The following is a 25232-nucleotide window of genomic DNA, read 5'->3' on the forward strand; positions in this document are numbered from 1 at the left end:
GGTGGATTACCTGAGGTCAGGAGTTCACCACCAGTCTGACTAACATGGTGAAACCCCATCTCTACTAAATACAAAAAAAATAGCCGGGCATGGTGATGGGTGCCTGTAATCCAAACTACCTGGGAGGCTGAGACAGGAGAATCACTCTTACCTGGCAGGTAGAGGTTGCAGTGAGCCGAGATCCACCATTGCACCCCAGCCTGGGCAACAAGAGTGAAACTCTTGTCTCAAAAAAAAAAAAAAAAAAAAGTTATTTCCATCTTTATCTTCATTTTTTTTTATTTGGGGTTTTTTTTTCTATTTGAGTTTATTTTCTAGTGATTTGATTGAAAACTTGGTTCATGAACTTTTTAAAGTTGACTTATTTTCAAAATTTCTTTTCTTATAAGTGTGTTAAAGAGGCCAGGCACAGTGGCTGGTGCCGGTAATCCCAGCACTTTGGGAGGCTGAGGTAGTAAGATTGTTTAAAGCCAGGAGTTCAAGACCAGCCTAAGCAACAAAGTGAGACCCTCCTACCTCAAAATAAAAAAAGGGTAAATGTGTTCAAGGCTATGAATTTTTCTCTGAGCACACCATTGGCTGCATCCCGCAGGTTATGCATTTCATGATGTACTATTTGAATTGTTCAATTTGAAACACTTTGTAACTTTCACATTGATTTTTTTTTTTTCAGAGGCAGTGTTTCCCTATGTTCACCCCAAAGTGCTGGGATGATAGGCATGAGTCACTGCGCCCGGATTACATTGATTTAACACATACCTTATTTAGAAATGTGTTTTAAGGCTGGGCACGGTGGCTAACACCTGTAATTCCAACACTTCGGTGGGAGGCCGAGGTGGGCGAATTACTTGAGGTCAGGAGTCTGAGACCAGCCTGGCCAACATGGTGAAACCCTGTAACCCTGTCTCTACTAAAAATACAAAAAAAAAAAAAAATTAGCTGGGTGTGGTGGTGGGCGCCTGTAGTGCTACATACTCAGGAGGCTGAGGCAGGAGAATCGCTTGAACCTGGGAGATGGAGGTTGCAGTGAGCTGAGATTCAGCCACTCCAGCCTGGGCAACAGAGCGAGACTCTGTCCCCCACCCACCTCCCCGCCAAAAAAAGTATTTTAAAATTTCCCTCCCCCTTCCAGGGGAGGCTAATTACTCTTCAGAGCCAAGATCAGGATACCTCATCTAATATTTGTTTCTTGGAATTTGTGAAGATCTCTGTTAATATTTTTTGTTTGTTTTTTTGAGATGAAGTCTTGCTCTGTCACCTGGGCTGGGGTGTAGAGGCGCGATCTCAGCTCACCGCAACCTCCTTCCTCCTGGGTTCAAGCGATTCTCCTGCCTCAGCCCACTGAGTAGCTGGGATTACAAGCGTGTGCCACCATACCCAGCTAATGTTTTTTATTTTTAGTAGAGACGGGGGGTTTCACCATGTTGGCCAAGCTGGTCTTGAACTCCTGACTTCAGGTAATCCTCCTGCCTCGGCCTCCCAAAGTGCTAAGATTACAGGCGTGAGCCACTGCACCCAGCCGATCTCTGTTAATTTTCACAAATGTTCCATGTGCGTTTGAGAATGTTAGAGTAGGAGGGGATAATAGGGTTTGTTAAATATTTTTGGCCAAGCTTATTAATGATGTTAGTCACATCTGTATTTTTTTGACTACCTGATCTGTTGCTTCTTTTTTTTTTTTTTTTTTTTTTTTTTTGAGACGGAGTCTTGCTCTGTCACCCAGGCTGGAGTACAGTGGTATGGTCTTGGCTCACTGCAACCTCTGCCTCCCAGGTTCAAGGGATTCTCCTGCCTCAGCCTCCCAAGTAGCTGAGAATACAGGCTCCTGCCACCATGCCCGGCTAGTTTTTTGTACTTTTAGTAGAGACGGTGTTTCACCATGTTGGCCAGGATGGTCTCCATCTCCTGACCTCGTGATCTGCCCGCCTCAGCCTCCCAAAGTGCTGGGATTATAGGCGTGAGCCACTGCGCCCGGCCTTGATCTGTTGGTTTCTAAGAGACATAGTCCTATTCTTCCCTGAGCTGGGTCCCTGGTGTCACTAAGATCACCCCTTCTCATTCCTGGAACTTCCCTGAGGTCATAGGGGGCTCTTTCATCCTATCTCTGGCTCCTGTGGGTGGCTTCTATGCCCAAGCAAGAAGTGACTCAGGCAAGGGTATAGATACAAAATGGCTCACTCTCCATCCCCAGGGATGTGATTCTGGCTCAGTGCATGGATCTGCTCATTGAGTGGCCTAGGGGTGGAGCAGAGTGTCCCCAACCTGTTGCTTCCCTCCACGGACTCAGTTCTTCCCCAGGGCACTTCGAGAAGGCAGCACCGTGTGATGCTCAGGGCTGCGGGTGAGATGGGCTGGGGTACGAATCCCAGCTCCACCTCAAACTCATTGTGTGCCCCTCCCTGAGCCTCAGTTTCCTAATATGTAAATGGGGATTTTTTTTTTTTTTTTTTTTTTTTTGGAGATGGGAGTCTCATTCTGTCGCCCAGGCTGGAGTGCAATGGCATGATCTCAGCTCACTGCAACCTCCGCCTCCTGGGTTCAAGTGATTCTCCTGCTCCAGCCTCCTGAGTAGCTGAGATTACAGGCAGGTGCCACCATGCTTGGCTAATTTTTGTGTTTTTAGCAGAGACAGGGTTTTGCCATGTCGGCTAGGCTGGTCTCGAACTCCCGATCTCAGGTGATCCATCTGCCTCGGCCTCCCAACGTGTTGGGATTACAGGCGTGAGCCACCGCGCCTGGCCAAGGGGCTGGTAACTTCTATCTCAGAGTGTCTGGCCCATGGTGAATTCTCAGTCATGGTCACTTATTAGAATGAGAACACGAGGCAGCCCCTACAGGACCAGGGCTTGGGTTCAAATCTTGGCCTGGCCACTTCATCGGTGTTTTGAGTTTTTTTTTTTTTTTTTTTTTTGAGACAGTCTTACTCTGTCACCCAGGTTGGAGTGCAATGGCATGATCTCAGCTCACTGCAACCTCTAACTCCTGGGTTCAAGCGATTCTCCTGCCTCAGCCTCCTGAGTAACTGGGATTACAGGCGCCCGCCACTGCGCCTGGCTAATTTTTGTATTTTTAGTAGAGTTGAGTTTCACCATGTTGGCCAGGCTGGGTTTCACCATGTTGGCCAGGCTGGTCTCAAACTCCTGACCTTGTGATCCACCCGCCTCAGCGGTGTGTGGTCTTGGACAAGCACCACCACCTCTCTGGGCCAACTCCTCCTCTGACTGTTCACACAAGGAAACGAGATCAGCTCTCCAGGACCCCACCGACCTCCACCCCAGGGATGAAACTGGACAGGCAGGGGCGCAACAAAGACTCCACAATGGGCCGGGGTCAGACGATCTTCCTTTAATACAAAGTCGATATATCTACATACACGGGGGTGGGAAAACCACCCGGCTGCTTCCGCTGGAATAAACAGTGTTGAAAGTAACCGCAGACCTGCCCTTGTACAAAGAGGAACAACTCGCTTGCTCAGGGTAGGCGGGTAGAGGGGGGCCTGTCCTTCTGGTTTTGCTCCCAAACTGCCCCACAGTCCCAGGGGGAAAGGGTCCCTGATGTGGGGCAGCACAGCCATACAGCCACTGTCCCCGAAGAAGTAGGATCCTCTCTGTCTCCTTGGGGGCGGGAGACGGGGAGACAGCTCAGGCTCTCAGAGGAGGACCACTGTCATCTCTCTCCTCTTACAGCAGCGTCCCCCTCAACCGCACCCAACGCCACTGGGTCCGAGCTCCCCCATGACCTTACCCTCAGAACTGTATTTGATATGTCTGAAAATTTAATTTATAAAAATGAAACAAAAAGGGGGAAAAAAAAAGCCAAGAAAGAAAAAAGGACATCCCATTCTTCTGTGAGCAAAGCACACTTTCTGATGGTAGGAAAAATTAAAAAAAAAAAAAAAAAAAAAAAAGCCAAGGTACAGCCATGGGCCTGGCGTGCGCGTTTGCGAACGTAACTATCACACAAGGACGCTTTCTACAGTGAAAAAATAGACTGTCTTTGAACAGAATATGAATAAGCCAAAGTTAGTTCTCTTTGAAAGTCATTGACTGGCGAGTCTTTTGTTTGTTTCTCTTAAAAAAAAAAATGGAAAAAAAAATACACTATTTAAAAAAAATGAAATGTCACGGGATACAGTTACACTGAGAGTTTTAAAAGAAAGCTGGATTCTGGTCCCAGCCCAGTGTCCCCAGGCTGCAGAGCGGGGAGGAGCCCCCCGGGTCCCCCTACCACCGCTGGGGGAGGACGAGGGGTCCGTCTATGGTCTGTGCCCCACCCTCCTCTGGTTCTGGGGAGCACTCCTATTTGCTCACCATCCCCCCACCCCCCACCCCGGAATCTGGTTTTGGAATTGGAAGGAAAGGAGGAATGTGCCAAGTATTTGAAGGCGGCGGCCGGTGCCAGGGAGGTCGCTGGGGCGGCCGGGGCCGGTGGGGGGGCTCGAGGGGCTGCGTCGTCCTCGGAAATGGTGCAGAAACACAGCTGCTGCCGCTGCCACCTCCTGCCCTGCCCACTGGGGGTCCAGGCCTCAGGAGGTCCGCCCGGGAGGGGCAGAGGCATCCGGGGCCAGTGGTGTCGGGCCTGGGGGGAACCATGGCTTTAGGTTGCATAGTGGTCAAAGCTTCCGAGGTACTCCAGTGCCGCCTGGTAACAGAACTGGTACTCATCCTGGGGGAGCAGAGGTGACCTGTTAGTACCTCCGCTGCTCTAACGCCTCCCAGGGCTCCCTATCGCCCTCAGGAGCAGGCCAAGCTCCTCAGCCTTGTGCGTGTCTCTTGCAGAAGGTCTCTTTGGCCCCCACGGCCCTCCCACAATGAAGTGAGCTATGCCACACCTCTCTGCCTAACACAGCCAGGCTCTTCACCCGGAACGCCCTCTCCTCCCGTCTGCCTGGAGGCCCTATTCATCTTTTCTTTTTTATTTATTTTGAGACGGAGTCTCGCTGTGTTGCCCAGGCTGGAGTGCAGTGGCGCCATCTTGGCTCCCTGCAACCTCTGTCTCCTGGGTTCAAGTGATTCTCCTGCCTGAGCCTCCCAAGTAGCTGGGATGACAGGCGTGTACCACCATGCCCAGCTGATTTTTGTATTTTTAGTAGAGACAGGGTTTCGCCATGTTGGCCAGGCTGGTCTCAAACTCCTGACCTCGGGTGATCTGCCTGCCTTGGCCTCCCAAAGTGCTGGGATTACAGGCATAAGCCACCACACCCAGCCTCATTTCTATTTTTTTTGTAGAGATGGGGTCTTTCTGTGTTGCCCAGGATGGGCTCAAGCGATCCTCCCACCTCAGCCTCCCAAAGTGCTGGGATTACAGGTGTGAGCTGCCACGCCGGGTCCCCTCTACTCATCTTTTAAGACATGGCTGCTGTTCAGAACCCCCTCCACTGGAACATTCCCCTTGAAGCTAGGAGTCTGGGCCTCAGTTTCCCCATCTGTACATTGGTTGGACTTGGGGGTCAGTGGTTCTTGGCAGGGTCCAGGCTGAGCCACAGACTTGCTGTGACTTGGGGACTGCAATGAGCCCATCTCTGTCCACTCCAAGGGCCACTTCTCGCCTTTGACCTTCAGCTGACTGTTGTGTTAAAAGGGTTACTGGTCCCCTTCCAGTGCGGGAGGGGTCTGTGGACCGTCTACCCACAGTGACCCAGAGAGTCCCAGGTGGCTGTACCCATCTCACAGAGGAGGAAACTGGAGCTTAGGGGCAGTCGGGGCGTGAGGCCAGGCTGCCTCCCCTCCCTGTCCCATCTTTACCTCTGTCTGCACCATGGCCGGCCGCTGGGTTCGTAGCATCTTCACCGTCTGAAAGATGTCCACCACGCCTTCATACCGCATCCGCTCCAGCACGATGCTAAGCGTGATGAAGACGCCCGTCCTGCCCACGCCGGCACTGGTGGCAGTAAAGTGAGCACAGCCATTCAGGGGCAGGTGCTGGGGAGCCCTGATCTGACCACCCGATTCCCCGAGGACTCTAACAGCCCAGATGGGACAGCCTAAGCTTGGGGCTGTCCCCACCAGGCCTCAGTTTCCCCAGCAGGGCCAAAAGCTGGGACACTCGAGGGAGCTCACCTGCAGTGGACAGAGATGGGGCCGTCCTGGCCAAACTGCTCCTTAGTCTTATGCACTTGGCCAATGAAGTCGATGAAGCCCTCCCCCGACTTTGGCACACCCTGTTCCGGCCAGTCTGTGAACTGGAACTGCCGGACAGTCCGGGACTGGCCATCCTAGAGTGCAGAGAGCCCAATCTTGTTATCAGGTCAGCAGCGGCCATGGGGGTTTTTCTCCATCCTCCCTATCTTCACCCCCATTTTTTGTTTGTTTGTTTGTTTTTGAGATGGAGTTTCACTCTTGTCGCCCAGGTTGGAGTGCAATGGCGTGATCTCGGCTCACTGCAACCTCCACCTCCAGTGATTCAAGTAATTCTCCTGCCTCAGCCTCCCGATTAGCTGGGATTACAGGCATGAGCCACCAGGCCCGGCCCTCACCCCCATTTTGTACACTCTCTGCCATTCATTTACCCTGACAACTTACCGTCCTTCACAATCCAATGGTACTGCTTTCCATAAGAGATGCTCCAACCTCATCCTCACCACTTCTTGCCACCCAGCTGTTCCTCTCCCCACATTTCCTGTATGACATCCAGCACCTCCATCCTCCATCCTTTGCCATCCCATAGTGCAACCAGCTCTGCCCTTCCCAGCTCCTATTCACCATGATCCTCTGTCATCTTCCACTCTGTGCCATTTCGGGGCCCTACAGCACAACTCAACTCCATCACTGTCCATAGCTCATCAATGATGACTCATCTTCTACAACCCAATGGTGCCATCATCTTTCATCGTCCACCATCCAACACCATCATCTTCCACCATCCAATAACAGTGCCACTGCTACCACCCACTGCTGGTAACTCACTACCTTCTGCCGTCCCGAGTTCCACCCAACACCATCATCTTCCATCATCCACCACCATCCCCTCTTGGTAACTCATCCTTAACCATTCAGTGATGGCATCTTCCACTGACTGTCTTCATTCCCCACTACTCAACCATTCCTCTTTGCAGTCTCCTTTCCTACCACCCAGTGGTGCCATCCAACCACATCATTCTCTGCCATCTTCCATCCTTCACAACTCAATGGTGCCATTTTCCACCATCCATCACTAACAATTCATCACTCTCCACCATCCAAGGGTACCATCTTCCACTGACATTCTCCATTCCCCATCATCTGCCTTGTTCTAATCCCATCCTCCACCATCAAAATGGTGCCATCCAAAATTGTTATCCTCTGCCACCATTTGCCATCCAATGTACCATCTTTCCCTGATGTTTTACATTTTCTAAAATCTCCTTTCCCAACCCCATCTTCCTCAATCTTGTACCACCCATTGGTTTATACCATTGACTATTGTTTACTGTCCTTTCTTAGTCCTAGTATTTCCCATTGATTTTCTCCACCCCCTGCTGGCCAAACATTTGCCCTTCTCCAATTCTGTCTTCCTCCATCCATCACTGATAAAGCATCACCCTTCACTGACCCAAACTACCACATTCCACTGACATTCTCCATCCTGTTATGCGAATGTTCTTCTCTCCAATTCCAGATTCCACCCCTCCAAGGGCACCATCTTGCACTGCTCACAGCACAATGCCCGGTGATTGCTGTTCATTCAGCAGCCTTCACCATCCTTTGGCATCATCTTGGCCAACATTCCCCATCCTCTATCATCCCCTCACTGCGTTCTCTACCATCGTCGATCTTCCACCACTAACTTTGATCCTTTGTCACCCAACAGGGCCACCTTCCACTATGAGTCTTCATCTGTTGCCACCTAATACCTGGCCTTTCTCCCTCCACCTGACACTGCAGTCCTTCATTGAGCCAACACCATCCATACTCATCTCTCCTCACCCAACGGTGCCAGTCCCCACCATCTGACTCTCCTTGTCCACCGTCTACCACCCCTCACCCTCAATCCCTCAAGTCCCTTTCAGCCCTTTAACATCATCCTCCACAGGTGGCTGCTTCCAGAGGAAAGCCCCATTCACTTCCTTGAATATCATCCCCTGGGGCCATGTTCCCTAGTGAGTGGAGACACTGCAGGGTCAGCACAGAGATAAGACCCTCTCTTCCACCTATGTGGCAGTAGAAGCAAGTGGCCAACTGGTCAGCTGACACTTCTCCTGATTCCCAATGCTTATGCCTAACCCTTGGCCTTTGTATCCATCACCAACCAGGGCAGCCCTTTCCAGATCACTAAGGCTCCAGCCCCTCCCGCCAGTCTGTCTCTTCACTCACCCGGGCATCTGTGACCTTGAACTCTCGCAGGATATACTGAGGCATGTTGTATTCTGCCATCGGATCTACCACAAAGTACTGGTAGCGGGCAGAGCGCTCGGCCGGCCAGTACTGGTGACACTTCTCCTGTGGAGGAGATGGCGGCCGTGGTCAGCGCTGTCTGAGCCACAGTCTGGCCCTCGCCCTTCCCTGCTGTGGCCCCTAGCTCACCCGGCCCATCTCCCGCAGCTTGGTCAGCATCACCACGATCGTCGAATTGTTCTCCCACAGCATGCGCCAGAAGTCTTCCGTGGTCTCCGCCAGCGGCCCCTGTGTCGCGATGTAGGCCTTCTGCTGCCTGCAGGCGTTGGGGGTATGAGCCCAGGGCCGGCAGGGAGACCCGGCGTGGTACTCACCTGATGCTGCCCGGGAGGGTCAGGACCAAGCCAGTGACAGCTACACCTACCACCCCACTGCCTGCCAGGAATGGCTGCTGGGTGCACCACTTCCCCTCCTGGTGATCCCATTTTGCATGTGGGGAAACCACCAGTCTCATGACAAATTCAAATCCCTTGACAAAGCTGCGGGACTATCCACTAACCTCTCCTGATTTCTTCCCTCCATCTCCTTCAAGGGCCACTGCCCTACTTTCAGTTGCTTGCGTGGGCCAAGCTCTCAGCCCCGGGCCTTTGCACATGTGGCACCCTCTGCCAGGAACACCCTCCCCTCCTTTGCCAGGATTTCTCAATCTCAGTGCTATTGACATTTGGCGCTGGATTGTTCTCTGAGACAAGCTGTTCTGTGTACTGTAGGATGCTGAGCAGCATGCCTGGTCCCCACCCAGGCAGTACCAGTAGTACTCATGAAAATAAGAAATATCCTCAGGGTGTCAGAATTACCCCAATTGAGAACCACTGATAGAACAGATGGAATCACATTATGGACAGCAGCCATCAGTTAAACACACACCCAAAGATTCACGGACAGCAGCCATCAGTTAAATATACATCTAAAGATGTGTATTTAAACAGCTCAGGGCTACCAGTATCTCCCCAGCTCTGTCTCCCACAAGACTGGAGGCCTCTTGAGAGTAGAGATGGGCTCCTTCTGGGGCCCTGAGGTGGGAAAGGCATGGCACCTACCTGTAGCCATCAATGAAGCTGGCGTTGATGTAGTCAGAGCCCTCCACACCCCGGATGGGTTGCAGACAGACCCGTGTGCTCTCATAGGGCATGATGTTCACCAGGCGGTTCTTGAACTTGTTACAAGGCAGATTGGCACTGATGAAGCGTGACGTGTGGGCCTTGGAGTTAGCCAGCCGCTGTGGGGAGGAGGAAGCCAGAGGCCACCATCAGGATGAGGAAGGCTATGCTTTCAGCTGGAGCACCAATGGTGGATAGGTAGGTAGGGGCACCCTGCCACCACCTTCTAGTCCCCATTGCTCGAGGCGGGCCTGATTTTCGGCTCTTTGGGCCTCCTCCCCACCCCGCCCACAGCAGCCTCCACCCCGCTGGCACCTTGAACTCGAGTTCCATGCCAGTGACGTGTTCGCCAGGCTCCACCTGGGCCAGCTTCTGGATGTAGGCATAGAGGCTGCGTGCGGGCACTTCTGTGTTGCCACAGCCCACGGCCTCCAGCAGGGCCTCGTGGATGAAGCTGTACTGGTCCTCCGTCTGCACCATGTAGTTGCGCTGGGACCTCATGAGCGTCACGTGGCCATAGACATCGACTGTCTTCTCTGGCTTGATCCGCTCAAGCATGGCGTCGATGACGATAAAGCAGCCTGTGCGGCCCACACCGGCACTGCAGGGACAGCCACGTGGCGTTCAGGGGCTGCTGGGCTGCGGGGACCGGGGGGAAGCGGATGGGGCAGAGTGGGGTGGACGTACCTGCAGTGAACCACGATGGGGCCGGCATCTGGCGGGTTGCAGGTCTTGACTCTCCGCAGGAAAGCCAGGAAGGGCGTTGGGTATTCGGGCACGCCATGGTCCGGCCACGCCGTAAACTGGAACTGGCGGACCTCGCGTTTCTCACTGGAGCCATTCTGGGGACCACAAGGATGTCACCTGTCACTCCGGCTCAACCTGCCACCCATGTGCTGAAGATGCCCAAGTGGCCGGGTGTGGTGGCTCATGCCTGTTATCCCAGCACTTTGGGAGGCCGAGGTGGGCGGATCACCTGAGGTCAGGAGTTCGAGACCAGCCTGACCAACATGGAGAAACCTCGTCTCAACTAAAAATACAAAATTAGCTAGGCATGGTGGTGCATGCCTGTAATCTCAGCTACTTGGGAGGCTGAGGCAGGAGAATTGCTTGAACCTGGGAGGTGGAGATTGCAGTGAGCTGAGATGGCGCCACTGTACTCCAGCCTGGGTGACAGAGTGAAACTCCATCTCAAAAAAAAAAACACCCATGTCTGCGCCTCCCAGTCACCATGTCCCCAAGTGCCTGACTTGGGCTCTAGCTGGCCCTGGACGGTTTCCAAGTAGAGTCTTGCGGACGCCTCACACACAACGTGGCCAACTGTATCTGGCCTTCTCCCCAAACCTGCTCCCCCGTCTTAGCTGAAGGTGGCTCCAACCTTCTGGGCACTCTGGCCACAGCTTGGGAGTCACCCTTAACTCTTCCCCTCTCACATCCAACACCTCACCCGGGACTGTCGGCTCTGCCTTCAAAGTCTATCCCAATCCACCTGCTCCATGTTCTCCATGCAGGCCAATCTGGTCTAGACCTATCACCACCCTCTTTGCCGCAGACCTTGGCTCCCACCCAAGCCCCCCAGTCTGTCCTCCCTGCAGCAGCCAGAGGGCACCTGAGTCAGATCTGGTACCTCCTCTGCCCACAGCCCTCCATGGCTCCTGCCTCCCACAGGGTCAAAGCCAAAGTCTTCCCCAAGGCCCACAGGATCCTGCATGACCAGGCACGGTCCTGCCCCAGGGCCTCTGCCCAGGCTGCACCCTCTTACCTGAAATGCTGTCCCCCCAAATCTCCCCATCATACCCTCTTCCAGGTCCCTAACACTGTTTTTCTCCTCCACTTTATTTTTCTCCTTTGACATGTAAGCTTTCTTGACATTTCATAGTTGTGGTCTGTGTCTTGTCTACTAGACTGTTAAATCCCCCAAGGGCAGAACGTTTTGTCTGTTTAGGTCCCTGTTGTGTGCTTGTGTCCAGGTTAGGGAGTGAGATATAACATATGCTTAATGTATAACATATGCTTAATGTGTGTGATTGAACCAAGAATTCTCACTCTTGTCCATGTACTCAGTTTTCTGGCACTTAGGTCAAGCAGGTGCCTGACGGTGAGATGACCTGGCTGGGTGTTGGGGATACATCACGGTGCCAGTAGCACCTCCCCTCCCCATCATGACAATAACAAATGTCTCCTGGATGGCAGAATTGTCCTAATTCAGAACCACAGATGGAGAAAAACAGATGGAACCGCACTATGGACAGCAGCCATCAGTTAAATACATATCTAAAAGATCTTCTCCATCCCAGTCCTGACTTTGCAGGGCTGCCAATATCTGTCCATCTCTGTCTGGAGACTCCTTGAAGGCAGGGCTGGGGCCCTGCTGAGGCCCCCATCATAGGCTCAAGCTGGGTGAGGCCAGAGGACAAGTGGGCAAAGAGGACCTGGGGCATGAGTAAAGGCAAGAAGAAATCAGGCTCATTGCTGAGTTGGGCTCTGCCGGCTTTGTTCTCCTGCCGTGGGTGGAAACAAGCAGTGTCCTCTCTGAGCCTCAGTTTCCCCCTCCACGGAAGTGGGTTCCATGAGAATGTAGTCAGCCTGGGTAGACACGCTCCGCTTTCTCTCTGTCCCATGGGGAGCTCCCTGGGTAGAAGCTGGGGCCCTCTGCCTCCCTTCCAACACATTCCTCCACCCTCAGCCCCCAGCCCCAGCCTGGGCCCCACCTTGTGCAGAGAGAATGTCCTGACGCAGAATGTGGCCAGCTCGATGGTATCTAGCAACGTGACCTGGATGAAGCCGTAGGTCTCCGTGCCTCTGTTGGGCCAATACTGATCACACTTGATCTGTATCGGGCAAGAGAACAGGTGTCAGCAGGGACAGGCTGACTGGCAGGGGCTTGAGGGCCGTGGGGTCCAAGGCTCACCCGTGACTTCTCCTCCAGCCGCGTCATCATGACGATGGTCGCCGACCGCTGCTCCCACACCATACGCCAGAAGTCCCCAAAGGTCTCAGGCAGCGGCCCCTGCGTGGCAATGTACGCGTTCTGACACCGGTAGCCGTCCACGTAGTTGGCATTGATGTAATCACTGCCCATGATGCCTGCAGCCAGGGCGAGAGGCCAGGGATCTGTGGGGGCTGTCTTGCTAGTTTGGCTCTGTGTGGCCAACCACTTCCTGGAAGTTCACTCTGACCGCTCCCAGATTGTCCCCAAGGTGACCATGGGACGTGTACTTCACAGTTTCTCCCCCTCAGCGCCATCACCATTTGGGGCCAGATCGCCCTCTGTGGCGGGGCCATTCTGGGCACTGCAGGGTGCTGAGCAGCATCCCTGGCCTCCGCCCACTCCACGCCAGCAACATTTCTTCCCTTCAAGTTGTGACAACCAAAGATGTCCCTGGACATTGCCAGATGTCCCCTGGGCAGCAAAACTGCTCTGATTGGTCACAACTGATGCAGAAGGACAGATGAAGCCATGTTAGAGAGAGCAGCCATCAGTTAAATACATATCTAAAGATGCCCAGTGGCCTCCAGTTGGAGCTGGACCAGGTCTATGACCAGAATCAGGCCTCAGTGGCCCAAGGGGAGACATGGGATCTAGCACTTTCCATGCAGTGGGGAAGGGCAGGTTAAGACCCGGGATCTCCGAACTACCTTCAATGGGCTGGAGGATGACACGGGAGTGGTCATAGGCGATGACGTTGGCATAGCGGTTCTTCGGCTTGTTCACTTCCAGGTTGGAATGTTCCCATGTGAACTGCTGTCCAGGGTCGATGGACTACAGAGGAAGGGGAGAGCGCGGGTGTCAGGGTAGGTGCCTGTGAGGCCGAGGTGATGAGGGTGGGAGGCGGGGGTGGGCTCACCTCATACTCCTGGGAGAGCTTGAGGCTGTCGTTGGCCTTGAGCCGCTCCGTGTGCTCCGCCATGTCTGCGATGGGAATTGGCGGGTGGCTAAGCATGCCTACAGGGTGGAGCAGACCCCGCCGGGGTTGGTCACTTGGGGGGCCAGCCGGGGACTCGGGGGAGGGGGGTGATCTACGTGTGAGTCTGCGATGGGTGAGCTGTGGTTAGAAGGGCATGGCCGGGGTGGGGCTTGGCAGGAGGGGAAGACTCAGGGTGGCTCATGAAGGGGCTGGGACCCCAGGCCTAGGGGACTCTAAAGGCAGCAGGTTTGAGGCCCTCTGCTCCGTGCAGAGGCTGACACCCCTGGAGGGGCCTGGATCACAGCATTGGCCCATCCTGTTTCCTTCCAACCAAGCTGGGGGTGCAGGGGCTGGCAGAAGGGTCACCCCAGAGGATGTCAAGCTCCCAGTGCCTCGAGCCAAGAAGCAAGTGTGTGGCACAGAAATTAAATTGCAGACGCAGCCGGCTGTGCTTTGGAAATACTGTCCTTGGGTGGGCGACTGACACCCCTTTCTGTCCCTCTGGGATCAGAGGCACGAAATCCGCTTCCAGGTAGAGGCGACAGACTAGGGAGGGGAAACAGTATGTGTGTGTGTACGTGAGAGGAGTGAGGGGTCCCCATCTGTCCCTGCGCTTGCTTGGGGCAGGAGCAGGTGCAAGAAGGCCCTGGCCTGAGAGCTCTTATCCTTTCAAGCCCCCTAGGATGGCTGCCGAAGGTGCTGGGTGTGGGCTCGGTTCTCCCTTCCCGATATCTGGGTCTGCAGAACCCTGACCTCTCCTGGGACCTGTGTACCGGATGTTCAGCTCTCAGGTGGTTTCCAGACCAGCTGGTAACATTTAATGTTCTGAGACTTCCATGTGTCCCTAGCTGTCCTGGGTGCCCCCCAAGAGCTCACATCTAAGGGGCCTGCCTGTCCTGTGGGCACGTCCTGGGTACATACGTGCCTCACCCACATCCCTGACACACACATACACACCACACACACAGCAGTCACACACAGCCACCTGAGGGCCCAATGGACCAACCCCCTGCCCTCTTCCAGGAGCCAGCACAAGACAGGTGGGCAAAGGCCGGTGATGGGTGGGCGTGTGGACAGAGACAGGAGACACGATGGAGAAACCAAAGAGGAAATGAACGGGGGCGGGGGCGAAAGGAAGCCAAAAACAGACACAAGAACTAACTTTCAAAGTGAAACCCCGGCTCCCTGAGGGGGCTCCTGAGGCCTGAATCTGCAAACAGCAAACAATAAATAAATGAAAACATGCAGGGGGTAGGGGGGGGTCCCACCTCTGCCTCCCCCACCCCTCACTGGCTGGCGGATGCAAAGGGCAGAGCAACGCGGACAACGGGGGGTATGTACAGCCACCTGGGCCCCCACCTGAGGACTCACGATAGCTGCTAACTGTGTACCCCTCTGGCTGGACACCAGTCAATCCTGGTCTTGACCCGTCACTCTGGAAGGACTCCAAAGTGCTAGGTTCTTCTGTCTACAGATCCCCTCCCCCAGACCAGCCTGGCCTTGGGTCCCCTCTGTTGAGGTCAGCAGAGGGCATTCTGAGGAAGGAGGATGCAGGATGGTGAAGGAGAAGCTGGGGGAGCAGGGAAAGGACATATGGGCCCATGCCATGAGCTTCAAGGAGGACAGCAACCATCAGTTAAATGCACATGTTGAAAATCCTTATTTGGATGGAAACACAACAGACATCAGCTAGTCCAGAGACAGAAATGAGATGGGAGCACATTAGCGGTGAATTGTGAGACTCTGCATGATCCCTTCAGGAGACTGCAGCCGTCAGTTACATGCACATTTAAAATTCTCATTTGGCTGAAAAACCAAAGCAACACGAATCAGTACAGAGGAAAGAAAGGGAAGAGAATACACGAGGGGTGATACATGAGGCCCTGCATGATCCCTTTATGAGGACAGCAGCCATCAGTTAAATACTAATGGTCAAACTCCTCATTTGGATGAAAACAGAAGTGACACAAGCCAGTCCAGAGACAAAAAAAAAGAAAGTACATCAGGAATGGCATGTGAGGCTATGCATGAGGCTTTAAGGAGGACTAAAGACATCAGTGAAATACAAATGTTTAAAATCTTCATTTGGTTGGAAAATAGAGTTGATATGAACCAGTTCAGAGATACGAAGTGGAGACCGGGTACAGTTGGAAGGACAGATGTAACTTGGCTGTGAACCCATAAGGAGAATAGCAGCCATCAGTAAAATGAAAAATTCCTTATTTGGTTAGAAGCAGCTGGCATGAGCCCATGAAGAGGGAGGAGATGGTAGAGTTTGTGAATCATACATGAAAATGATCAAGGATAAGGCCTTGATTCAGTTCTCCTGGACTGTCAGGTGACTTTAATCTACAGGGAACTATAAAGAGGCATGAACCCTGGCAGCCATGGTGGGAAGAGGTACAGGGCATTGGGCAGGTATAATTTCTGTACCTTGCTAGGGATATATCCCAAGGGAGTGTGGAAAATGGCTGAGGGCAAACCTCAACTCCCACCACCGAGGAACATTAAAACCAGAGACATAAACAGAAGAATAGCTCTTTCTGCCCAAAGAAATGAGGGGTTTATTTGTGTTTTCTCCATTTTTTAAACATCGTCTTTAGGCTCCTGAAGAGGACAGCAGCCATTGGTTAAATGTTAACTTTAAAAAAAAAAAAGCCTCACTTGGTTGTAAGCAGAACCAACCTATGAGTTCCAAGCCCAGATCCATGTAGGGTTGGAGGTATTTGGGAATCCAGAATGTGGCTGCACCAAGCATAGTTCAGAGGGGGCCAATGAGGGGCCCCCAGGGTGGCAGCTACTGCTTCTCCCCAGCTATCTCCCCTGTTGGTGGCATCCCTGGTACCAGGGATAAGTACATACCTGGAGTCTGGAAGTTAATGCGTCTCATTTCCACAGGGTCCTTGGGGTGGTGAGGGGCGAGGTCGGCATTGTTCAGGAGGCATTTGGTGCGGGGTTCTGAGTCCTTGCGTTTACTTTAGGAGAAGCAAGCGGAACAGTCCAGTTAGTAGTGGCACATGTTCATGTGTGAACACAATTCAGGCCCCAGGAATGCATGGTAAGAAAAGGACCATGGACCCGTATGACTAGGGTTTCCAGGACCAAGTACAGCTACGTGTACAAGCTGTGGGGGCAGCCGGGCATCCCCTCTCCTGTGGGCACACTATCAGCCCATTCCCTGTCCTCTTCCTCTTGCCTGAAGCCTCCACGGGGGAGGGCTGGTTCTTACCTGTCGGGTTTGCTGTTCCCGAAAGCAGACACAGGTGAGAAGGGGGAAAAAAAGAAGAAAGGTGAGGGTGTGCCGGCCATCAAGGGCTTGTTCTGTGACTCTCAGTGCCTTCCTTAACCTCTGTGAGCTTTGGTCTCCTCTGGAAAATGGTGCTCATATTTCCTGTTTGTCCCCCTGCCTATCGACACCACAAGGAGGCTTATCTCAGCCCTGGGATGTGCCCCATGGGGCCACTACAATTGCTATCCTCATTGAACTGGACACAGGCAGCCTCTACCCCAAATCTTGCTGAGTTGAAGATAGGGGTTAAGAGGAGAAGCCAAGCCACTGGCCTGCTTTGAGCCCTAGCTCTGCCATTCCCATGCTGTGTGACCTTGATCAAGTGGCTTAACCTCTCTGAACTTCGGTTTCCCCATGTGTACAACAGAGACCTTTAGTGATGATTCTCTGAGACAACTCCTCCCTCCTTTTCCAGGAAGCCCTCCCTGCTGTCAAGTCAAGTCGGGGAGGACATGGGGCTTACTTCTTGTAGAGCAGGATAGCAATGACAATGCAGATTATGAAGACCACGGCCAGCACAGGCCCGATCACCCAGATAAGCCCCTCCTCGCCATCCACGATGGGCTGGGGGTCCGGGTTATCCAGCTGGAAGGGGTCTGAGAAGGGACTGGCTGCAAAGGTCTGCAGGGAAAGGAGGGGGGTCTCCATCAGTGTCCACCCTCCTTGTAGTGGCCAGATGGGTCTTTCTCAAACATGAACCTACGTTTCTCCCCCGCTCTAGATCCTCCTATATTCCTAGAACCTTGACCCTGGTGGCCTATGTGACCTGGTCCCTGCCAATCTTTGCTCTCCCCATTCCCTTCTCTGCTCCAGCCACTCTCCTTTCTGTACCTCCAGACCTTTGCACATGCAAATCCTGGGATGCTTTTTCTTTGTTGAACTCCTACTCACCCCTCAACGCCCCAGCTCCAAGGTCTCTTCCTCTAAGAAACCTTCGTTTCAGGATCCCTCCGCTCCCAAGTCTTCCCCTCTGCCCAGCTCTGACCACAGGGAGCTGCCTGTGACTGACCACAGAGGTCAGGGCCCTGGGGAATGGGGTCTGCCTCATTCAGAGGTGTGTCTGGATGTGGGCGGACACCATTCAGGACTTACAGGCTCGCTCTTCTGAAGCACGGCAAGCACGAAGAGGACATAGCGGTGGCCGGGCTCCAGGCCCCGGTTATCGAAGCCGCCATACTGCTTCTGGTCGCCGGGATGGAACGTGGGTGGCAGCACAGAGAAGCGAGCTGCAATATAGGGCCGGGGCACCTCCAGCTGACGCGAGTGCCGCAGGCTGCGCCTCTGTAGCCGTGAGATGTCCTGGATGAGCTGCGGGAACAGAGTCATGGGTGGCTCAGAGCTCAGCTGGGAGCAACAGAGCACGTGAAAACTGGAATGCATCTGGGCCCTGCGGGTTGGGCCCCAGGCCCTCACCTCTTCCAGATCCATGTCCTCTGGGCTACCCAGCGGGGTCAGGAATTGGCCTCCACGAGACTTGCGCAGTGGCACCATCACAATGAAATAGCTCCTGTAGGGAGATGGGAAAGAGTCAGAGGGGCTGTCGATAGGGATGACCAAGGGATGCTTCATGGGGGCAAACGGGGGAAGCCGTTTCTCTGAGTCTTCCCTTCTGTTCATACAATGAGCCTATTCCCCTATGCCCCATCCACAAACGCCACAGTTGCTGACTCAGGCCTCCAGGCCTTGGATGATGCTGTACTTTCTGCGTAGAAGGCTTACTTCATGTAATGCTCATTGTTAAACTCCTATACATCCTTCAAAGCTCCAGCTTCAATGCCCACATAACCTTGTAGCCCTTAAATCTTCTCTGCCTCTGAGGCAGAGTGCTCCTCTCCCCACTGGGGACTCTCAGCTTTGCCTCCCCACTAGTTGGGAAGCCCAGAACCAAATCCTTTCAGGGGCCCTAGTAATACCCAGTGGAGGGTCAGGCATATGGGGTATCAGGAAATGCTAGAAGAGCAGACACAGGACACATTTAGTGACAATGACCCATGAGAAGCATTGAATCTTGGATGACCCCATGAACTAGGGCTGATAGGGTCTGTGTTTCATAGGCAAGGAAATTGAGGCACAGAGAGGGCACGTGGCTTGCCCCAGCCATATAGTAGGCTGATGGGGGTGACAAGGAACCCGGAGCATGGGGGTGAGCATACTGGACAGGCACGGGGCTCTGGCCGTCAGGAAGATACACCATGATGAAGCCGTCAGCATCAGGCTTGGGGGCGACGCTGGGCTTGCCGTTGAGCAGGTTGAAGGCAGTCCAGGCGGTGACCGTCTGCTGGAGGCCGCCCAGGCTGCTGCCGCGATTGGTCAGCACAAAGTTGTAGAAGGTGTGGGGCTTGAGGTGCGTGATGAGCTTCTTGGTGGTACGGCCATCCACATCCAGTGTGAGCCCATTGTACTGGATCTGCGGACCAGGGCTAGCTCAGCAGGGCCTGGTGGGCTCATGCCCATGGACTGAGCCCCAGCTCCAGGATGAGTCCCCCACCCTGACTGAGCCCTGATCCCACTGAATCCTGCCCTAGGCAGAAATCTAACACTGACTGATCCCTGATCCCAGGCTGAGTCCCCAACTCTGACTGAGCCCCAACCTCACTGAACCCTGACCCCAGACTGTGCCTAAATTCCAGCTGAGTCCTGATCCTAGGTAGAAGCCCACTTTGACTGAGCCCTGATCCCATGCTGAATTCCCAGTCCCGACTGAGCCCCAATCCCACTGAACCCTGAACCCAGACTGATCCTGAATTCCAGCTGAGCGCTGACCCTAGGTGGAAACCCACCTCTGAGACCTGATCCTAGACTGATTCCTGATCTCAGACTGAACCTCAATCCCAGGCTGACCCCCGATCCCAGACTTGGCACCAACTCCAGACTAAACTCTGACCTCAGGCTAAGTACCAACTCTGAGTCCCAATCCTGATTATGCCTCAGTCCCAGCTAAGCCATGATCTAAGGCTGAGCCCCAACTCTGATTTCCAATATGGACTAAATCTTAATCCCAGACTGAACCTCAATCCCAGCTAAGCCACAATCCAAGGCTGAGCCCAACATTGATCCCCAATATTGACTGAACCTCAGTTCCAGCTGATCTCCAATCCTAGGCTGGGCCCCAAGTCTGATTCCCAGTATTGACTAAGCCTCAATCCTAGCTGAGACCCATCTCTGACTGAGCCCTGATCCCTCACTTCACACCAACTCCAAACTGAGCCTTAAGCCCTGCTGAACTACAACCCCTGACCCTGCCTGCCTGCCTGCCTGCTGGCTGGGCAGTCGCACCTTGTAGGGTGTGGGTGAGTTGTAGTTGTCAGGGAACTCCCAGCTGAGCAGAACTGATGTCTTCATGATCATTTTCACCTTGAAGTTCTTGGGCGAGACTGCCGGGGAGGCGGCCGAGCAGGGAGAGAGCAGAAGAGAGGCCCCATGAGTGCCTGGCACTGGGTGGCGTGAAGCGGGGTGGGGTGGGGCGGCCCAGGCGCTCCCTGTCGTCCGCTGTGCCCATGCCCACGGCCTTCCTGCCTGGCCCTGGCCCGGCCCTGCCCTGTCCTGTCCCAAGTCCCTGCTTCGGGAGACGGCACGGGTGCAGAGGCTGCAGAAAGAAGGTGGAGGAGGAGGAAGAGGGGGGAGGGGAGCAAGGGGAGGGGGCAGTGGTGGGGGGCGGTGGTGCCACCGAGGCACGTCCCACCTTTGCCAACGCCGGAGCCTCGGGGTCCGGACTTGCCTTGAGTGACCACGAGGAAGCAGAAAAGTGAGCACTTACCTGGGCAGGGGAGAGGGAGGGGGCTGGGGTGGGGGTGGGCGCAAGGCCCGGTCCGGCTCTGGTGCAGGGGTCGCCGCGCGCCTACCTTGGTCCCGCAGGAACGTCCGGTAGCGGACGGGGGGGCTGAAGGGGCCAGGGCCCCGGCGCGTGTGGGCTCGCACTTGGAGGTCATAGGCCGTGTCGGGCTTCAGGCCCTGCAGCGTGAGCGCGTTCTCCGCGCCCGGCTCAGCCGCTGCCGGCAGCTCAGTCTCTCGGGCAGGGCCCAGGGCACCGGCCTCCCGCACGGCCACCGTGTATTTGACGATGGCCCCGTTGCGCTCGGCGGGCACGGGTGGCAGCCAGCGGAGAAGGACGGTCCCGGCCGAGGCGTTGCCGGCCGCCTCCAGAATCTGCGGGTGGCCACGGGGCGTGTCCTCCGGGATGCTCAGGACCTCGGCTGCCTCCTCGCCCAGGCCGCCGCGGCTCCGGGCCGCAAGCCGGAACACATACGTGGCCCCCTTGTGCACGCCTGATGCCGTGTAGCGGTCCTCGGAGGGCGGGAACTCCAGGGTGGCCAGGGGCGTCGAGTCCTCACGGCCAAACTGCAGGCGGTAGCCCAGCACCTGGTCCTCCGCGGTGCCAGCCGGGGGCTCCCAGCGTGCCAGCAGGCTGCCCTCGGGGGTCTGCTGCACCGACAGGGTTGGGCGGCCCAGCACTGCGGGGATACGGGGCAGGTGTCAGGGTCCCAGCGCCATCCGCCAGCCCAGAGGCACAAGGTGGGGTTGTATTTTTAATTCTTTTCCTTCAATATAACATTTTTTTGAGTTGGGGGGGGTCTTACTCTGTTGCCCAGCCTGGAGTGCAATGGTGAGATCACGGCTCACTGCAGCCTCGAACTCCTGGGCTCAAGTGAGCTTCCTGCCTCGGCCTCCCAAAGTGCTAGGATTATAAGGCCACTGCACCCAGCTGCGGTTGTGATTTTTTTTTTTTTTTTTTTTGAGACAGAATCTTGCTCTGTTGCCCAGGCTGAAGTGCAGTAGCCCCATCTCGGCTCACTACAAGCTCTGCCTCCCGGGTTCAAGGGATTCTCCTGCCTCAGCCTCCCGAGCAGCTGGGATTACAGGTACACACCACCACGCCTGGGTAATTTTGTATTTTTAGTAGAGATGGGGTTTCGCCATATTGGCCAGGCTGGTCTTGAACTCCTGACCTCAGGTGATCCACCCGCCTCAGCCTCCCAAAGTGCTGGGATTACAGGTGTGAGCCACCGTGCCCAGCCTGGGGTTGTGATTTTTAAAAGTGGATCTCAAGGCTGGGTGTGGTGGCTCACATCTGTAAGTAATCCCAGCACTTTGGGAGGCTGAGATGGGCAGATCATTTCAGGTCAGGAGTTCGAGACCAGCCTGGCCAACATGGTGAAACCCTGTCTCTACTAAAAATACAAAAATGAGCCGGGGGTGGTGGTGCACGCCTGTAATCCCAGCTACTCAGGAGGCTGTGGCAGGAAAATCACTTGAACCCAGGAGGCAGAGGTTGCAGGGAGCCAAGATCGTGCCACTGCACTCCAGCCCGGGCAACAGAGCAAGACTCCGTCTTAAAAATAAAAGTAGGTCTCAAGAAAGCCTCACTTAAGAAGCAAAGACTTGAAAGAAGAAAGAGAGGGAACCACGAGAAGATCTGGGGGAATCGTGCTCCAGGAAGAGGGAACGGCCCATGCAAAGGTGTAGAGCCGGCACTGGGCTAGGGGCGCATAAAGCACAGCAAGGAAGTGAGGACTCAGAGAACCCCTCCTCCTTCCATTAATAAGGCAACCATCTCCTGCCTTGTTGATTTGGCCCTTGCTCAATGCAGGCACCTGACCAATACCCATGGGACATAAAGAAATCCAAAATCCGCCCCTGCTCTTTGTTTCGCACAGCCTGGGTAGTAATCAATGTGCCGAGAGAGGTTCTGGGATCAGGCAAAGAAGGGGGAAAGCTGGGCTGTATACATGAAAATGGACTTCTCTACTGCAGGACTTATCAGGGCCTTGAATGGACTGCTATGAATACCCAGGGTGGTGGGGAGAGCAGCGTATGCAGTGGTTTCTGCTTAGCAAACACAGCTCTAATACAATGTCCCTGAGAGAGGAGGGAAGTGCCCTGCTGGCTAGAAGAAGGGAGGGAGAGATCACAGGAGGCTGCTTGGAGGAGGTGGCGTTAGAGCTGGATGCTGGAGGACGCAGACAAGGTGCGTGAAGGGAATAGTGTGGACAAGGGCAGGGGCTGTGTCCAGCTGGGAGGCCTGAAAGGTGGGGTACACAGTGGTGTGGCTACAAGGGTCCCCGAGGAGAGGGTGGGTGTGGGGACTGGGATGAAGGCCACAGAAGTCAGTCGATTGTTCCTGAAACACCCGAGCTTGTTCCGCCCACCACCACCACCACCACGCCCCACCCCCCAAGTCTTTTTCTGGGCTGTGCCCTCCGCCCGGTGTACCCTCCCCTTACATCTTCACGGCAGCCTCTTTTTCTTAATTCAGCTCCATTTTGGCTGGAAAAAAAAGCCAGCCCCTTGGGGACGATGGAAGGGACAATGGAGGGGCTAGAAGGGGAAACTGAGGCAGGGCCACCAAGAGAAAGGTGGCTTCCTGGTGCAGTAGGGGAAGACAGGTGCACCACCCTGAAATAACAACCTAGCCGGGGCGACCAGAGCCTGGATGGGGGAAGCACAGGAGACTAGGGGGCCCAGAAGGATCAAGATTATGGGATGAGGCAATCAGGGAAGGCTTTCCAGGGCCAGGTGTACCTTGAGCTGAGACCTAAAGGCAGAAGAGGAGCCAGCCAGCAGGGGAAGGGGTATCCTGGCAGAGGGAACAGCCCAAGTAAAGGTTGAGAGGGCAAAGGGGTCAGAGGTGGCTGTTAACTGTTTCTGTCTGGTGGGAGCCGGGGGGACAGGAAGTGAGTGACAAAGGAGGAGGCAGGGGCGGGGGGGGCCAAGCTGGGCCCTGGACACCCACCTGAGCAGCCCTCACACCTTTGTCTCACTGTTCCAGCTGCCTGGTGCACCCTCTGCCTGCCCTTGTGAGCTCAAGGACTCTGGAGTCACGCTCTGGTGCCAGTGGGGGCAAAGGGGCTGTTGGTGGGTGGGAGGAGGGCGGGTTGCATACCTGCTCCCTTGGTCACAACCACCTTGGGTTTGCTGCGAGCGCCATCGCCCTTCATGGTGTAGGCGGCTACCGTGATGGAGTACGCGGTCTCAGGCTGCAAGTTTGTGATGACCATCTCCTGCAGGCACGGCTGGGGGTCAGCACGACGGCTGGGGCTGGGAGCAGCCCCACCCACCCCCACTCCCCGTGCTGAGAACAAGCAAGGAGGATGCAGGGCCCGGATCAGGGGTGGAGACGTGCACATGAGCTCATGCAGAGACCACGACACGTGGCATGGCCATGCTCAGAGGGTACATGCAACAACCCAGCCGGACGAGCCCATTGTCGCTTGCCAGGACCAACTCGGTCCTCTCTGCTCCGCTCCCCTCACTCCTTGCCATCACCCCCGACAGTCTGTCCTCCCCACAGCAGCCAGAGGGCGCCTGTGAGCACTGGAGTCAGGGTCCGTCCCCGCTCTCCCCACAGCCCTCCATGGCTCCCACCTCTCTTGGGGTCAAAGCCCAAGTCTTCCCTGTGGCTCACAAAGGGCTCTCCTTGCTGTTCCTCCAATGCACCAGGCACAGCCTGCCTCAGGCCCTTTGGCACTGGCCTTCCCCCCTGTCTACACCCACTGGTGTGCTGGAGGTGCCCGGTACCAACTCATGAGAGCCGCTGGTTAAATTTTCAGGAATTTTGTGAGCCACTTATGAAACAGAGCTGTTATTAAAAATTAAACTGTACGAGGCTGGGCGCAGTGGCTGACGCCTGTAATCCCAGCACTTTGGGAGGCCAAGGCAGGAGGATCACTTAAGGTCAGGAGTTCCAGACCAGCCTGGCCAACATGGTGAAACTTCGTCTCTACTAAAAATACCAAAAAAAAAAAAAAAAAGCAAAAAAGCCAGGCGTGGTGGCACATGCCTGTAGTCCCAGCTACTGGGGTGGCTGAGGCAGGAGGATCACTTGAACCCAGGAGGCGGAGGTTGCAGTGAGCCAACATCGTGGCACTGTACTCCAGCCTGGGTGACAGAGCAAGACTGTCTCAAAAATAAATAAATAAACTGTATAAACTTACAATCAACTAAGTTATATTGAAAGCAAAGGCAATAAATACAGCAAATCTAGTTATTTCACTAGGGTTACTGTTCTCTGTGGGTATCTGTATGGTTACTGCTTTGAGATCATCTTGTCTATTGCATCTGTAGAGTAGGAATACATGATTATGGGCTACTGGGCACCTCCCCGGTAGCTTGAAATTGACATGGTGGGAAGTATTTACACCATGGAAACGGTCCAATGCTACAAAACAGGACTGCCCCCTCCTGCCCACCCAGAGAGCTGATTTTTACTCTTTTATCTTATTGAGACAGGGTCTCACCCTGTCGCCCAGGCTGGAGTGCAGGGTGTAATCATAGCTCACTGCAGCCTTGACCTCCTGAGCTCAAGTGATCCTCCCGCCTTAGCCTCCCAAGTAGCTGGGAATACAGACGTGCACCACCACATGCCTGGCTAATGATGTTTATATTTTTTGTAGAGATGGGATCTTGCCATGTTGCCCAGGCTGGTCTTAAACTTTGGGCTCAAGTGATCCGCCTGCCTCTGCCTCCCAAAGTGCTGGGATTACAGGCGTGAGCCACTGTGCCTGGCTGAGAGCTGATTTTTAAATGTTTATTTCACTGTCTAAACCCCATCCCCACCACAGCTGTA

General features: G+C 54.6%; 1 protein-coding gene across 35 annotated transcripts in view, besides 2 other annotated features; it reads right to left on the reverse strand.

Annotated features, from left to right (window-relative positions):
- The window catches only part of PTPRS (protein tyrosine phosphatase receptor type S), a 135305-nt gene continuing 113403 nt past the window's right edge, over positions 3331-25232 (reverse strand). For 12 of the 35 annotated variants that reach the window (NM_001394011.1, XM_047439155.1, XM_017027066.2 and 9 more), the window contains 22 exons: positions 23550-23667; positions 20512-21120; positions 19946-20043; positions 18823-19076; positions 18083-18176; positions 17762-17977; positions 17133-17290; positions 16610-16621; positions 16243-16355; positions 14543-14590; positions 13321-13418; positions 13112-13235; positions 12384-12559; positions 12184-12303; positions 10160-10314; positions 9788-10073; positions 9413-9591; positions 8502-8628; positions 8292-8417; positions 6060-6214; positions 5745-5880; positions 3331-4665 (listed from right to left, as the gene is read on the reverse strand). In NM_001394011.1, the coding sequence (NP_001380940.1) occupies positions 4597-4665; positions 5745-5880; positions 6060-6214; positions 8292-8417; positions 8502-8628; positions 9413-9591; positions 9788-10073; positions 10160-10314; positions 12184-12303; positions 12384-12559; positions 13112-13235; positions 13321-13418; positions 14543-14590; positions 16243-16355; positions 16610-16621; positions 17133-17290; positions 17762-17977; positions 18083-18176; positions 18823-19076; positions 19946-20043; positions 20512-21120; positions 23550-23667 (3471 nt within the window). In that variant the 3' untranslated portion in view covers positions 3331-4596. The remainder of the gene's footprint in view (positions 4666-5744; positions 5881-6059; positions 6215-8291; positions 8418-8501; positions 8629-9412; positions 9592-9787; positions 10074-10159; positions 10315-12183; positions 12304-12383; positions 12560-13111; positions 13236-13320; positions 13419-14542; positions 14591-16242; positions 16356-16609; positions 16622-17132; positions 17291-17761; positions 17978-18082; positions 18177-18822; positions 19077-19945; positions 20044-20511; positions 21121-23549; positions 23668-25232) is intronic. The other 23 variants (XM_047439161.1, XM_047439160.1, XM_047439157.1 and 20 more) reach the window with 7 other exon arrangements.
- Positions 23135-23754: an enhancer, noted in NCBI's record as "H3K4me1 hESC enhancer chr19:5225323-5225942 (GRCh37/hg19 assembly coordinates)". NCBI's record gives its function as "activates a minimal SCP1, AML or CMV promoter by ChIP-STARR-seq in naive H9 embryonic stem cells {active_cell/tissue: H9 hESC(naive)}" and the evidence as "EXISTENCE:reporter gene assay evidence [ECO:0000049][PMID:30033119]".
- Positions 23755-24373: an enhancer, noted in NCBI's record as "H3K4me1 hESC enhancer chr19:5225943-5226561 (GRCh37/hg19 assembly coordinates)". NCBI's record gives its function as "activates a minimal SCP1, AML or CMV promoter by ChIP-STARR-seq in naive H9 embryonic stem cells {active_cell/tissue: H9 hESC(naive)}" and the evidence as "EXISTENCE:reporter gene assay evidence [ECO:0000049][PMID:30033119]".

This window comes from Homo sapiens, chromosome 19, assembly GCF_000001405.40.
Source record: "Homo sapiens chromosome 19, GRCh38.p14 Primary Assembly".
Lineage (NCBI taxonomy): Eukaryota > Metazoa > Chordata > Mammalia > Primates > Hominidae > Homo > Homo sapiens.